At 48.7% G+C, this 15856-nt stretch overlaps 1 protein-coding gene across 7 annotated transcripts in view, besides 3 other annotated features; it reads right to left on the bottom strand.

The window, feature by feature from the left end:
- The window catches only part of TSPAN9 (tetraspanin 9), a 209181-nt gene that overhangs the window by 149852 nt on the left and 43473 nt on the right, over window positions 1-15856 (bottom strand). The window lies entirely within an intron of this gene.
- Window positions 50-549: an enhancer, noted in NCBI's record as "H3K4me1 hESC enhancer chr12:3245325-3245824 (GRCh37/hg19 assembly coordinates)". NCBI's record gives its function as "activates a minimal SCP1, AML or CMV promoter by ChIP-STARR-seq in naive H9 embryonic stem cells {active_cell/tissue: H9 hESC(naive)}" and the evidence as "EXISTENCE:reporter gene assay evidence [ECO:0000049][PMID:30033119]".
- Window positions 550-1051: an enhancer, noted in NCBI's record as "H3K4me1 hESC enhancer chr12:3244823-3245324 (GRCh37/hg19 assembly coordinates)". NCBI's record gives its function as "activates a minimal SCP1, AML or CMV promoter by ChIP-STARR-seq in naive H9 embryonic stem cells {active_cell/tissue: H9 hESC(naive)}" and the evidence as "EXISTENCE:reporter gene assay evidence [ECO:0000049][PMID:30033119]".
- Window positions 3311-3605: an enhancer, noted in NCBI's record as "tiled region #6988; HepG2 Activating non-DNase unmatched - State 15:Elon, and K562 Activating non-DNase unmatched - State 23:Low". NCBI's record gives its function as "activates a minimal TATA promoter and a strong SV40 promoter by Sharpr-MPRA in HepG2 and K562 cells {active_cell/tissue: HepG2 | K562}" and the evidence as "EXISTENCE:reporter gene assay evidence [ECO:0000049][PMID:27701403]".

Here is a 15856-nt window from a genome sequence, read left to right as displayed (position 1 = left end):
ACCTGAACATGTGTTCCTCTTACAGAGGGTTTGGGAACAGAATAGATTTTCTGACAGTTGCCCTGACCTCAGGCATCTGAGGGCTCCTCTCCCTCCTTCCAACCCTACTCATGCAAACCCGCTTCACGACAAAAGGAGAGCCACCCCGACTCAGAATCTAATGACAGGGTTTGGTGTCCTGTCTTTGCAATGCTGGAGGCATCCTTCACTTCTCTGAGCCTCAATTTCCTCATCTGCAAAAAAGAGGATCCCCCAGTACCTGACACAGGGGCTGTGGGGGAGATCAATGAGACAAGGCATTTGAGGAAGAGCCACGTGAACTGTAACACAAACTGTCGAGCCCCACGCAAAGGCTTAAGAATGCCCACGATGAGTGGTGCGTGACTTATCCCGGGACTCTGGAGCCAGCCTGCCTGCATTCAAGGCCCCGCTCAGCTGCACCTGATTAGGAGGGATTCAGGGCTGCCCCTCAAAGAGGAGGAAACCAATAAATGTAAGCAAAGGAGTCAGGGCATCCCTGGCTCACGAAGTGCTTCCTACATGTTTGCTGTCACTGCACGTCACTGCTGATGTGCAGCATGCCCTTGCTCTTACGCTGTTGTCCCTCCCAGGCCAGGAGCACTGTGTCCCACCACCACAGTGCCCTCAGTAACTGCACAGGCTACCAAGCTGGGGACTCCTCGGGGAGCAACAGGACTTTCCTCGGGGACACTGGGTCTCGGCTTCTGGACCCTTTAAGACACTGAAAACCCAGCCAGCACACGTGGCAAAGATTTTCCCAATGGTGGGAACTCTACTAAAAGGGTATCTCCCAACCCTGGGACTACCTGAGCTGAGACAGCCGCTTCTCAAGAATGTCACAGGAGAGTTGGACACAGGGTACGTCTGAGAGGGCTGCCTCGGCTTCATCCCAGCCTTTCCTCAGACCCATCCTGGAATCAGTGAGATGTGGAATTTGAGTCCCCATGCCATCAAGGGGCGATGGCTGATCCACCCAGACCAAAGGGCTTGACTTGAATACGATGGACCTGGGGGAGAAATTGATAGGTTTCCTGCTGCCATCTAGTGGTCAACATCAGTAAGAACAGCAACAAGCCAGAAGGCCACCAAGCAAGCCTCAGGGCCACAGCCCCTCAACCCTGCAGGCCTGGACCAGGGCTGAATGATGAGCTGGCTGAGGCAGAACCTAGCAGGAAGCAGAGGGTGTAAGAAGGAGAAAACGTGTCAAAAACCCACAGAACACCAAAAGCCTGCTGCCTATCCTCCCAGGGATTAAGGAAGGAGTGTGCCTCATACACCCCTGTAACAAATAAAAACGTGGTGGCCGGGCACAGTGGCTCGCTCCTGTAATCCCAGCACTTTGGGAGGCCAAGACAGGAGGATCACTTGATGCCAGGAGTTCCAGACCAGCCTGAGCAACACAGTGAGACCCCATCTTTACAAATCAAATTTAAAATTTAGCCAGGTGTGGTGGAGTGCATCAGTGGTACCAGCTACTCAGGAGGCCAAGGTGGGAGGATTGCTTGAGCACAGGAGGTTCGAGGCTGCAGTGAGCTCCGATCGTGACACTGCACTCTAGCTTGGGTGACAGAGCAAAACCCTGTCAATCAATCAATTAATAGTGTTGCCCCAACTCTAAAGCAATGCAGTGCCTAGGCACTGAGAAGGAACAGGCAAACAAGATGCCAGCCCTGACTGCAGGCACCTCCGAGTGGTCTCTCCCCTACTCCCCCATGTCCTCCACAGCTAGCCAGCCCCTGCGTTTGCCATGCTTTTCCCCACATTGTTCTTCTTCCTCCCTTCTATACATGGATGATGTGCCTGTACAAACGTCACTGCCTCTTCCACGCTGCACGCCATCACCCTCATCCACCCTGGACTGTGATCGCCTGACTATACGTCCACCTTCCCCAGCAGAGCTAGCCCCTGCTCTCAGCTCACAGTCACATTCACCAGCAGAGCAGCTGGCTCTCCAGGCCTGACCAAACTGGATCCCAGGGCCCCAAATGCTTCCCGCCTTCTGTCTCAGAAGTTGGGCGCCCCAAACAGCCATCGGCCATGCCACTGTCCCCAAACTTCCCTCCATCCCTCCAGAGGGCCCATCTGCCTGTGACCCAAGGCCCTCTGACCCAAGCGACCTTCCACCCCAAAGCAGCAGCCCCGAGCGGAGGCAAGCAGACCCTTGCAGATATGAGGCAGGACAGACAGAATGAGGGGAGCTGGGCTCCAGCCTTGACCATCCCCTAACTGGCTGTATGACATGACTGGCAAGTTTCTTCCCTCCTTGAACCTTCAAAGTTCCCCATTTATACAATGAATGATCATCTCGGGTCCCTTTCAGGTCAAAATCTCTATGACACTAATTCCTGCTAAAGTGCCAGTGACCTTTAATTGTGTAACTGTTCCCACAATACTCTCATCTTCGGAGAGGAGAAAGTCTCAACCCATCACCCATTCATTCACACAGTAAAAACACACTAAACACCCAAATCCTGGGAGTGGGGTGCCTGTTTTTAGCAATGCGACCTACTGAGCTCTGCTTTAGCCACAGTCCACGGCGGGAAAGGCTGACGAGGAAGGCCAAGCATCCATGCTGAGCTGACACAGGAAGCAAAGCACCAGCCTGGAGCCTGACACCCTGCAAGATCGGGACGGCAACCCTTACATTACACACCTTCTAAGGGGCTGTTCCAAGAATCAGTCCCTCACAACAGCCCTAAGCGCTGACCCTGTTTATAATCAAAGAAACTGAGACCCAGGGGGGTTCAATAACTTACCTTCACCAAAAGATGCAAAGCCAGTGTCAAGCTAGAAACTGCGCCTGGGTGGCTGTCTGGCCATTACCCCGTGCCATGGTGGGTGATCAAGAGGTGATGCTAATGCCAATTTCCTCTCCTCCCCGTCATCCATCCATTTTCACAGGACCTGTTTCTTTGGAAACCTCCACCCTCTGCACTCTGGTTTCCTTCCCCAGTCACCCCTTATTCAAGTTTGCACACCAGAGTTGAGCAGAGCCACCTGGGGAGAAAAAAACCACCTGCTCATCCAACTTCAAGCAGCATCATTTTAGGGCACTGACCTTGTTTTCTTTGGTACACTCAGCCTGCTGGTGTTGTCTGTTTTGGAGCTGCCCTTAGATGAGGGTGGGGGGAAGATGACTGCATTGGAATGAAAGGCCTGGAAGGATTCTGAATACATACCAAGGCTCTCCTGTGATTTCCCCTGGGAGGGTCCCTGGGGCTGGGAGAGGGGCATAGGAATGGGGCCTCACATTTTACTGATACTTTTATGTTATTTTATTTTTTACAGCAAAAAAAAATTATATAATAATTGAGTCTTATTTTAAAGTAAATAAACACTTTAGACAGACAGACTGCTGGCAGATGACCAAACTGTGTACTTGTAGGAAGTGCCTGGTGAGACAGACCAGGCCTCCCGGGACAGAGCCCTGAAGTGGGAGGAGAGGACCCCTCTTTTTCCGGGATGGGTGGGGCCTGTGCACGGAGGCAGATGGTGGAGTGGTTTCTGGAGCACAGGGACAAACTCTCTGCCCCCAAAATACCTCACGCATCTGCTCATTCGTGCCTGAAATTCCTTCACCGAGGGACAGTCTTTGATTCCAGTTAGAAATAGGCCTGAAACCGTAAACCCACCCAAAAGACATAAAATGGTGCCTTCAAGTCATACTCCAAGGGAGCAAGCTTGCTGGTGTTGGGGAGTGAGGCTCTTACAACGCCTCTCGAGACAATCTGGAGGAGGCAGGACCTGACCGCTTCCTAATGGCCCCAAAGGTGACGGGGAGGAGCTCTGTGGCGGCCTCAGGGTGGCGCCTGTCCTCACCCTGACCTACCTGACAGGCGGGCGGTGGGGACGATGAGGCTGAGAGCCACCGGTCCACTAGGGATGGGAGAACCTGAGCCTGGGAAGCTTCATGGGCTGGGGAGGGGTGGCGCCTTTCAGAGGAGACTGAATAGGAAAAAGTCAAATATCTGGAACCAGGGAAGTGGGAGTCGTCCACGCCAGGCTTCGCCCAACCTAGCTGGAGGCCTGCCCTGGGGCCTGGTGTTTTAAACAGGATCTAGACAAATGGGGCCACATGTTGAGAAGCATGAACAGAACAGTGGGAGAGACTCAAACCGGGTCAGGAGAAAACAGGAATGCGGGAACTGAAGGAGAATGCTCCATGTCATGGTCCATCAGGGAATGCAAATCAAAGCACAGTAAGATACCACTTCACATCTAGGATGGCCATAATTTTTTTAAAAAGGAAAATAACAAGTGTTGGCAAGGATGTGGAGAAATTGGAACCCTCATGCGTTGCCGGCAGGGATGTAAAGTGGTACAGCCGCTGTGGAAAACAGTTTGGCTGTTCCTCAAAATGTTAAAACATAGAATTACCATATGATCCAGCAATTCTTCTCCTAGGTATATGCTCAAAAGAATTGCAAACAGGTGTCCAAACAAAAGCTTGTGCATGAATGTTCATAGCAGCTCTATTTACAACAGCCCAAAGGTGGAAACAACCCAAATGTCCATCAACAGAAGAACAGAAAAACAAAATATTGCACATAGGTATAATGGAGTAGTATTCAGCCTTACAAAGAATGAAGTACTGATGCACACTACAGCATGCGTGAGCCTTGAAAATACGCTAAGTGCAGGAAGCCAGACACAGAAGGCCACATACTGTATGATTCTATTTACACGAAATGTCCAGGAGAGGCAAATCCACAGATAGAAAGCAGATCAGTGGTTGCCAGTGGTGAGAGGCCTGGGGGGTCACAGGTAAGGGGTGCAGGATTCATAGTCAGGGTGATGAAGAAGCCATGGAAGCAAGTAGTGGTGATGGTTTTACAAACACGGTGAACGTAGTAAATGCCATCGAATTACACACTTTAAAATGGTTATAATGATATATTTTGTATGTATTTTACCACAAGAAAAAAAATGTTTTTAAAAAATTGCGAGGACTTTGGGAAGGACACAATACCTGGTAACAAACACCTGAGGGCCTATCCGACGAGGGTCCAAGGACAGGACCTGTCCTGCAAGTTCCCAGAGTATGGAACCTCCCGGAAGCCAAGCTCCAGCATCACAGCACACATCACAGCCAGCATTCCCTGCACACCTGCCACGGTCAGGCCAGAAGCTTTCATCAGCATTAGAGGATTTTCTCACTTCATACCCACAACAGCCCTAGGAGGTAGATGGGACTGCCCCCAGTTTCGGGTGAAGAAAATGAGGCTGGAGAAGGTAGGTAACTGGCCCACAGGCATCCAGTAAGTGCAGGGGCTGAGATCCTAATGGGAGCACCTGTGCAACTGGCTGCTGCTGTACGCCACCATCAGCGCAGAGAACGTGGGCCGCAGCTTCGGCATGTCCAGGCTCAACCAAGTCCCACTGTCGCTTGCTTGCATGTGACCTCTGGCTATTTACTCAACCACGCGGTGCCTGGGTAAAAACTGCAATTAACACCACCAACCTCGAAGGCCGGCTGGGACAATGAAATGAGATGACTGTGCCCAGCAGCTCCTGGCACGTAAAGGGCTCCATAAACATCCGGTTTCTTTTTTTTTTTCCCCAAAAGTGGAGAAAATGACAAAGATGGAGGAGACTGTCTCAGCAGGTAGAGCGTGTGTACCCCGTCAAAGGAGGCGAGGAGATGCAGCACAGCAAAGAGCCGCTCAGCAAAAACAAATACCACACGGGCACTGGCCCCAACGACCTTGAAGGTTCTGCCCTTGAAATCCGATGCGGCTACAACGTAAGACCCCTTCCCGAGAGTGGGCTTTGCTAGAAGCAAGAAGGGAGTGATCCAAGAGCACTGGGATCCTAAAGGAATCAAGGTCGCCACAAAAAAAGAAAATGTGCAAAGAAACAGAAGGCTGGAAAACAGCAAAAATAAAGTTTGCCGGTAAAAATAGAAGTAACTCACATTTTTAGAGCACGGCCGTGTGTGCCAGACACTCTGCTAAGCGTTTTGTGTAGGTTATCTCACTGACTCTGCACATCTCTGTGGGCCGGTACTATTATTATCCCCATCTCACTGGTGAGGCAGCAGAAGCCGAAAGAGGTTCAGGAGCTTGCCCGAGGTCACGCAGTTAGGAAGGGCCCACTCTGCCACCCTGCCCCAGGCCAGTCCCGAGAAGCCCTATCACCTGGATGCAGTCACCTGACTTTGGGGTGTTGCCTCCAGACACCATCTGCCCAGCTCCCACCCTCTGCTGTCCGTCACACCTGGAGATGCCTTTCCAGAGCAGAAAATCAGCCCCAAGCAGCAGCAAACCTCTCCCTGCCTTGCTGTGGCCAGCAAGCGGAAAGCTAGTAGCTGACGCGAACAAGAAAACATGAGAGGATCAAGTAAACATTTGGGGAAATGTTGTTAAATAGAGGGGGAAAAATGGGGAACTTCCGTTTTCACCAGCTCGATCAGCTTTAGGGCGAAACCGCAGGCTGCTTCAAGCGGCTGCCAAATGCCCAGCCAGATCCTGCCAGTGCGCTGGCACTGAGGGCAGGAGGAATCAGGTTTCCCAGGCTGGTGGGGCAGGGCTGGCCACCGGGGGAAGCGGAAGTAGAAGGGAAGCGACCCTCTGGCCACCCCAACAGCACTATCCTGGAGAGGGCCAAAGAGGCGGTACAGCCGCCCAGAGACCTTCCCAAGTTGCCAAGTTTGTCCCACACATCGGTGATCCACGCAAGAAAGAGGATGCAGGGAGGGATCAAAGAAGACCCAGGGGCCTGGGCACCTCCAAGTACACCTGATATCTGAATGCACAGAGGGCATGGAGGGGTTGGTCAGGGATGAACAATAAACAGGGTTCTACCTCTGCCAGGCTCCCGTCACTGCTTCCCCGAGGGACAGCTGGCCCCAGGGACGCCACTCCACACGGCAGGAACCGTTCATCCTACCCTTGAGCTGCCCAGCAAGGGAATTATGAAGATGAAAAAGGCAAATGCTGAAAGGAAGCTGAGCTCTTAATTTTTGCTTAAGCTAACATTCAAGGGCTTACAATGTATCAGACACTAGGCCAAGTCCTATACATGGATTATCTCATTTAATGTTCTTAACAGCCCTACAAGGTAGTTACCACCAACATCACCATTTCATAAGTGGACAAATTGAGTGCCAAAGAGTTAAGGGATACATGTGATGACGAGCTTGTGTGTGGTGGAATTAGGATGCAAACCCATGTGGTCTGACCTCACAACCCACACTCCTAACCAACATCCTTTACCACTTCCTGAAACAGACTCTCAGGAGGTAGTAGAAGGAACTATTAATCTTAGCTCCTAACCTTTGAGCATTTACAGCTTCATAAAGGGGATGGATAGACGGATCCAATGCATAGAAAAACTACCTCGGAAAACACATGTCACATTACTAACACGTGCATCCATTTCGGTTGTGCAAAGTCCTGTGGGTGGGTGTGCAGGCAGTGGGGAGCCACTGGAGTGACTGGAGAGGAGAAGAGTGGGCACTCGATTTTAAAATACGATGCTGCACAATAGCCAAAAGGTAGAAACACCCAAATGTCCATCACTGGGTAAAAGGGCAAAAAAATGTGGCATATACACACAATGGAATATTACTCAGCCATAAAAAGGGAGGAAATCTGACACAGGCTACAGCATGGATGAACCTTGAGGGTACAATGCTAAGTGAAGTAAGCCAGTCACGAAAGGTTCAATATTGCATGATTCCACTTACATGAGGTACCTGGAATAATCCAATTCATAGCCAGAAAATGGATGATGATAACCAGGGGCTGGAAGTAGGGGGAGAATGGGAAGTTATCATCTAATGGGTGCACAGTGTCAGTGTGGGATGATGAAAAAGTTGTGAAAAGAGATAGTGTGATGATTGCACAATAATGTATATGTACTTAATGTCAGTTAAAAATGGTTGAAATGGTCAATTTTATGTTGCGTATATTTCACAATAAAAAATTCCAAAATATAATGATGGTGATGTGATGAGGTGCTGAATCTCAAAGTGTTTAGTCTTTCCTTTTAGTGAGGAACAGAGTGGTTACCCAGGCAGCCTCGTGCAGAGTGCAGGGGTGCCTGACTCACCATAAAGCCAGGAAGGTATTTCTTGGGGGGCTATGGGTAATTCAGCCTTTCGTGGGGCTTTTGTTGGGGCAGGGGTTGAGACAGGGTCTCACTATGTTGCCCAGGCTGGTCTTGAACTTCTGGGCTCAAGCAATCCTCCTGCCTTGGCTTCCTGGGTAGCTGGGACTACAGCTGCACCACCACGCCCAGCCTCCTTTTGTGTGTAAGGCCCCCTTGAAGACACTCTGAAATCACGCCTTCTGTGTTTTGAAAGTTCATTTCCCACTGAGCTTGAATATCCAAGAAAGTCAGTGAGATTAGCCATTTTGTGTTTGCAGGCCCAAAAGGAGGGCATCCTACAGGTGGAGCTGGAGAAAAAGTGGTCAGGGCCCTGGATCTATGAGATAATGGACACTGAACCACATCCCTGGCTCAGTCTGCCACCCCAAACAACTTGAGAACAGAGACAAGAATGGGAAAAACCTCTCTGCCAAAAATAACAATATTGTAATATCGGTAGTACCATCATGCACCACATAACAATGCTTCAGCCAATGACGGACCACACATACGACAGTGGTCCCCTAAGATTACAACGGAGCTGAAAAATTCCTACCGCCCAGTGACATCATAGGTGTCGTAATCCAACAACACACAGTCTTGACGTGTGTGTGGTGATGCTGATGTAAACAAGCCCACTGCACTGCCAGTCGTGTAAAAATGTCTACCACAAGGTGGGCATGCCACCAAGCCTGTAGTCCCAGCTAATACGAAGGTGGAGGTGGAAGGATCACTTGAGCCCAGGAGTTCGAGTCTAACCTGGGCAACATAGCAAGACCCCATGAATTTTTTAAAAATATGTCTACCACAGCACATACAATTATGGACAGTACATAATACTTAAGAATAATAAACAACTATGTTACTGGTTTATGTATTTGCTATACTATACTTTTACCATTATTTTAGAGTATATGCCTTTAATTAATTTTCTTTAAAGTGGCTGGGTGCGGTGGCTCACACCTGTAATCCCAGCACTTTGGGAGGCCGAGGCAGGTGGATCACAAGGTCAGGAGATCAAGACCACCCTGGCTAACACGGTGAAACCCCATCTCTACTAAAAATACAAAAAATTAGCCGGGCATCGTGGCAGGCGCCTGTAGTCCCAGCTGCTCGGGAGGCTGAGGCAGGAGAATGGCGTGAACCCAGGAGACGGAGCTTGCAGTGAGCCGAGATTGCGCCCCTGCACTCCAGCCTGGGCAAGAGTGCAAGACTCCGTCTCAAAAAAAAAAAAATTTTTCTTTAAAGTTAAGTAAAACGGCCTCAAGCAGGTCCTTTACAAGGTATCCAGAAGGCACTGTTGTCACAGGAGACGACAGCTCCGTTATGTATTGCCCCTGAAGACCTTCCAGCGGGACAAGATGTAGAGGTCTCACTATGTTGCCCAGGCTGGTCTCCAACTCCTGGGCTCAAGTGATCCTCCTGCCTCAGCCTCCCAAAGTGCTGGGATTATAGTCGTGAGCCTCCACACCTGGCCAGAAAAATATTTATATAAATTTATAAATTTAGTGTAGTCTAGCACAAGTTGGACATGCTACCAAGCCTGTAGTCCCAGCTACTTGGGAGGCAAAGGTAGAAGGATCACTTGATCCAGGAATTCGAGTCCAGCCTGGGCAACACAGCGAGACTCCATGAATTTTTTTTGCTTCCTGTATCACCTGCAGAACCATGAGTCAATTAAATCTTTTTTGTTGTTGTTTTGTTTGTTTGTTTGAGACAGGGTCTCACTCAGGTGCCCAAGCTGGAGTGCAGTGGTGCAATCCCAGCTCATTGCAGCCTCCTCCACCTCCTACACTCAAGCAATCCTCCCACTTCAGCCTCCCAAGTAGTTAGGGCTACAGGTAGTTTTTGTAGAGACAGGGTCTCACTATGTTGCCCAGGCTAGTCTCAATTTCCTGGGCTCAAGGGATCCTCCTGCCTCCGCCTCCCAAAGTGTTGGGATTACAGGTGTGAGCCCCCAGGCCTGGCCCAAATCTCTGTCCTTATAAATTACCCAGTCTCAGGTATTTCTTTATAGCAGTGCAAGAACAGCCTAATACAGGGGTACCACTTTAAATCTTTTATACTGTATTTTTAGTGTACACATAGAAAAGGTGCGGTAAAGGTACACATATCCAAATCACTCTGGCAGCTCCAGCGTATAGACACACAAACACTCTTGTGTTAGAATTGCCTACAGTATTCAGCACAGAAGCATGCTGTACAAGTTTGTAGCCTAGGAGCAAAAGGCTCTTCCCTAGAGCCTAGGTGTGCCGTAGGCCATACCATCCAGGTTTGTGTAAGTGCACTCTGATGTTCACGCAACAACAAAATCACCTAACAGTGCATTTCCCAGAACACAGCCCAGTCGTGAAGCAACACGTGACTGTATAGTTATCGATCCCTTATTAAGCATTTTGTAAGTACTCTCCCTTAACCCTCACAACATCCCTGTGAGGTCTTATGCATTTGACAGAGGAGGAAAGTGAAGCTGCAAAAGGTTAAGAGAAGTGTTCACAGTCACTACACTAGTGAGCCAGGATCTGAATCTCTCATCCAAAACTTACTTTCTCAACCACTATAGGAGAGCATTTTCACTAGACACTTGAACACAACAAACGCAACAGAAGTCTCTATTGTTGGGAGGGAATATTGCCACAAAGGCCAGCATTCATCCAAACAACAGGTTTTGAGCCCTCAAATGCCAGGCGATGTGCTGAGTCCTCGTTCATAATCCATGAAACACAAACAAAAAGGCTGTTCTTGGGCTATGATCACAAGTGTTCTCTGGGCTCACTTGAGGGTCAGTTTCAAACGTATTGTCAGCCACAGAACCATTCCTCTGTGGTGACACCAGGCTGCCCTGGTGTCACCCAGCAGGCCACAACAACAAGGCACTATTTTACATTGGGCTTTCAAAGGCCATTTAAGGCAGGAGTCGCAAATTCTTCTATCTGACAAACATCATCTGAACCACAGAGAAAAAAAATCAATTAAATTCCATGAGAAGAAAGAACCTTAAATTAGGGTCTTCTTATAGAGTGAAAAATATGAAATGTCTCTCTCATCAGAGTATTCGGAAAAACAGCCAATAAGAACAGTACCTATTTTTTAAAAATAATTATTTAGTTGTAAATTTACATCCAATTAAGGGAGAAAACTGCGGGGGGAAGAATGTGTTAGAGGAGAGGAAGAAGGAACTCCAATGCAGAGGCCTCATCTCCCAAGTACACTTAAAGCCCTGTTCTGGAAAGTGCTGGAGCCTGTTTTGCAATGAAAGGTGCTGTGCTGAGCACGCAGCAAAACACTCTGCAATCCTCTGAGACACCAAAGCACTTCTGATGTTTTTGTTGTTGTGGTTCACTAGAGAAATGTTAGCAAGTACATAACATAAAAAAAAAAAAATCACTAATAATCACGAACTACCATTAGCATTTTTGGTGTATTTCCTCTAACCTTTCTTCTTTTTTAAAAAAAATTAGGATTTGTAGTGTTATATCTTACAATATTTGCTTGACATTTTTTCATTAATGTTATTTTGTTTTGTTTTTTCAGAGACAGGGTCTCACTCTGTCACCCAGGCTAAAGCACAATGGCATGATCATAGCTCACTGCAGCCTCCACCTCCCAGGCTTGAGTAATCCTCCCACCTCAGCCTCCTGAGTAGCTGGAACCACAGAGGCACACCCCTATACCTGACTAATTTATTAAAAATTTTTTTGTAGAGACAGGGGTCTCACTATGTTGCCTAGGCTGGTCTCGAACTCCTGGGCTCAAGCGATCCTCCTGCCTCAGCCTCCCAAAATGCTGGGATTACAGATGTGAGCCACCACACCTGGCCTATTTTGAGTCATTATATATAATTCTTGAAGACATAATTTTTAAAAGCCCACACAGTGGTCCATCAGGCTGGGCGCGGTGGCTCACACCTGTAATCCCAGCACTTTGGGAGGTCGAGGCAGGCGGATCACCTGAGGTTGGGAGTTCAAGATAAGCCTGATCAACATAGAGAAACCCTGTCTCTACTAAAAATCCAAAATTAGCCACGCGTGTTGGTTGTGCATGCCTGTAATCCCAGCTACTCAGGAGGCTGAGGCAGGAGAATTGCTTGAACCCACGAGATCAAGCCATTGCACTCCAGCCTGGGCAACAAGAGCAAAACTCCATCCAAAAAAAAAAAAGAATGTATCAAAATTTATATAACTAATTTTCTATTGTTAGACATTCAGTATGCTTCCAATTTTTAGCTACTATAAATAGTGCTGCAATGAAAAAATATAACTACTTTGGTATAAACTCCAAAGAACAGAATTATGAATGAATGTTTCTAAGGCCTTTGATATAAACTTCCAAATAATTGCACTAAAAATAATTCTAAGCAATGTTGCATTTTTGCAACTCTAGACATAAATGGGACTATATCTCAGTATTTTCTACATGGACAGTTTAAGTCATGCTGACAGATAAATCCGTTCTGTGCGCCAGGAATTTCTCACTTCTGTTTTGAAGTGTCTTCTACTAGTTGCTCATATACCAGCTGAAAATGTGCTTCCAAACTACCCTGGCAGCTCCACTGCTAGCACCAACCACATTGTATCTTACATCAGAGGCAGCTGGTGGCCTGCCTGCTTCCCGCACTCCAGGAGTGCAAGGACCAAGCCCGGCTCACCTCTGCCTCCTCCCTGCACAGCTCCTTTTAAACCTCTCATCCTTCATCAACAGTTCTCAAACTATTTTTTAAACTCTTCCGCACATCCTCATCCCTCCCTAACTCATGTGTCACAGGATACGAAGTGGGAAGGATCTGAGACCTTGGGCAAGCTCCCTAGCCTCTTGGACTTCAGACTCATCTGTAAAATGGGAGTAACCATCCCTCTCCCAGAGAGTGCCTGCAAGGATTAAGGTAGGTAATGCATGCAAAGCTCTTAGTAACCATGACAGGAGCCTTAGAAAATACTCAATAAGTAATAATTTTTCCCAAAAAAAAAAAATACATAATAATAAACCCACCAAAAAATTGTTTAATCCTCCACACACTGGAGGAGATTAATGAATCATACAGCTGTCTCTCTCATCTGAAGCTCGCCCAGGCCCTGAATGCCTGGAGAGAGACTCAGAACCTTCGGGGACTGTGCCAAACCCACTGAGCCTCAGGCCAAGGGCAAGGGAGGTCTGGCAATGCCAGGCTTGGGACGGCAGGCGGGCAGCTGGTCAGCACAGAGCCACAGAAGCTCTAGGTCAGCTGTGCACAAAGAAGGGTTAAGGACAAGCTACAGGGAAATCAAAAAGAAACAGCCTGAATCAATCCAACTGGGACAGGGCTCTAGGGCACCAAGAGTAAGCAGGGAAGCGGTTCAAGGAGCAACAGGTTCCTCCCAACTAGCAGCTTGGATGCAGGTGAGGGATGCAGACGCCACTCCCGAGCTAACCCTGGACAAATCTCCTGTTGTTCGTCGACGGGGCTGGAGTTGAGTCACTGTGGCATTGTCCAGCCACTCTATCAGGAGGAAACAGCTGGACAGACCAACACTAAATGCAGGAAGCCTCAAGCTCCACCAGGGCTCCCTGTGGGGCCGCCTCCCTGTTTGGGAGGCCTAGCATCCTGCCTGCCTCTCCCCCAGGGACCCCTGACCAACCCTGAAGCATCCACTGTCCAAACAGACATCCCTGTTTCCTGCCTCCAAGTGCCTGGGGCAAAACGCAAGCTCTCTGTTTGGCATTTTGGCAGCCCTCCTAGGGGCAAGGAGGCGGGGTCACCTGCTTTCAACCTGCCAGTAAATAGAAACCAAGGTGTAGGAAAACAAGTGGTAGAGAAAAAACAATGACATTTAATTAATTCAGAAAGGACATACTGTGTAGCAAGAGGACAGTTTTTCTCTGGACTAAAACATGAGCAACATCCAAAAGTGGACGCCACCTCCCTGCAGGAGCACATTCAGACAGATGCGGGGACTCAAACCTCTCTGTTAAGAGGGGTTCTTGCCAACTTCCTTATCTATGGTCTCCTAGGCTCAGACAAAAGATTCAAAATCCCTGCTAGGATTTAGAAATAACTCAGGGCCAGGTGTGGTATCTCACACCTGTAATCCCAGCACTTTAGGAGGCCAAGACAGAAGGAGACCAGTTTGAGACCAGCCTGGACAACATACAAACAAAAAAAATTTTAATTTGCCAAGCATGGTGGTGTGTGCCTGAAGTCCTAGCTACTCAGCCGATCAACGCTGCAGTGAGCTATGATTGTGCTACTGCACACCAGCCTGGGTGACAGAGCAAGACTCTATCTCCTTTTTTTTTTTGAGATAGAGTCTCACTCTGTCGCCCAGGCTGGAGTGCAGGCTCACTGCAAGCTCCACCTCCCGGGTTCACGCCATTCTCCTGCCTCAGCCTCCTGAGTAGCTAGGACTACAGGCACCCACCACCACACCCGGCTAATTTTTGTATTTTTAGTAGAAATGGGGTTTCACTGTGTTAGCTAGGATGGTCTCGATCTCCTGACCTCGTGATCTGCCTGCCTCGGCCTCCCAAAGTGCTGGGATTACAGGCGTGAGCCACGCGCCCGGCCAACTCTATCTCTTTTTAAGACAAAAAACGAGGGGAGGGGAGGGGAGAACTCAGAAAAACAGCAGGATGGTTCACAGTTTAAAGTCAGACAGACTCAAGCTGGAACACTGTCCCTAACAGTAGCTGTGTGACTGATACAGTATAACATCACAGCCTTCAGTCAAGGTTTGCAAACTCAAGTACCTACAAGGTGGAAAACATAAATTCATGAAGTTACTGTGTACAAGGGCAAGTCCCAGTACTGTGTCAAGACTGAGGGGTCAGGAAAGCACAGCCCCATGTGGAGGTGGTGCCTGAGAGCCAGATCCAGCCAATTGTTGCCACCGGGCAGCACAGGCTCAGTGTAACTAGACCTTCCAACTTTAAAAAGCCAACATCAGCCAGGTGCAGTGGCTCATATCTATAACCCTAGCACTTTGGGAGGCCAAGGCAGGAGGATCACTTGAGCTCAGGAGTTTGAGACCAGCCTGGAAAACATAGTGAGGCCTTGTCTCTACAAAAAAAAAAAAAAAAAAAAAAAAAGTTTTAATTAGCCAGATATGGTGGCATGTGCCTGTGGTCCCAGCTACTCAGGAGGCTGAGGTGGGAGGATCACTTGAGTTTGGGAGGTCGAGGCTGTAATGAGCTGTGATCACACCACTGCACTCTGGCCTGGGCAACAGAGCAAGAACCTGTCTCAAAAAAAAAAAAAAAAAAAAAAAAAGCCAACATCCCCTGTTTTGAAAAATCTCTCCAGTATGTCAGCTGCGCCCAAACAAAACGCATCTGTGGCCTGGATCAGACCTAGAGGCCACTGGATTGCAACCTCAGCTCTAAGCCTGAGATCTGCAAAATGAGGGCAAATAAAAGAGCCTCGCTCTGGGAGAATGAGATGGGATTAGGTCTGTCAAGCATTTCACACCGCCTGACACACAGAAAGCACTTGATAAATGGTGACTATTAACTATGCAGAGTTGGAAGGGACTTCAGGAAGACCCACCCCAACCTTCTCATTCCACAAGATGAAACTCAGACAGGTCCTGTGACTGAGCCACAACCTGCAAAGGAGCCAGTGGCCAGTGGCAGGCTGGACCCAGGCCTACTGACTCCCACCTGAGTTCTGAAGGCCCAAGCCGCCTCTCTGACTTACAGAAGCAGTTTATCACCCACCACTCCGTAAGGGTCCCTCCTGGGGGCTGGTCTACCCCATTATGGGTAGCTCCCC

The sequence above is a fragment of the Homo sapiens genome, chromosome 12 (assembly GCF_000001405.40).
Source record: "Homo sapiens chromosome 12, GRCh38.p14 Primary Assembly".
NCBI classification, from domain to species: domain Eukaryota; kingdom Metazoa; phylum Chordata; class Mammalia; order Primates; family Hominidae; genus Homo; species Homo sapiens.
Note: the sequence above shows the minus strand (reverse complement) of the source record. Positions and strands in the feature narration are given on the sequence as shown.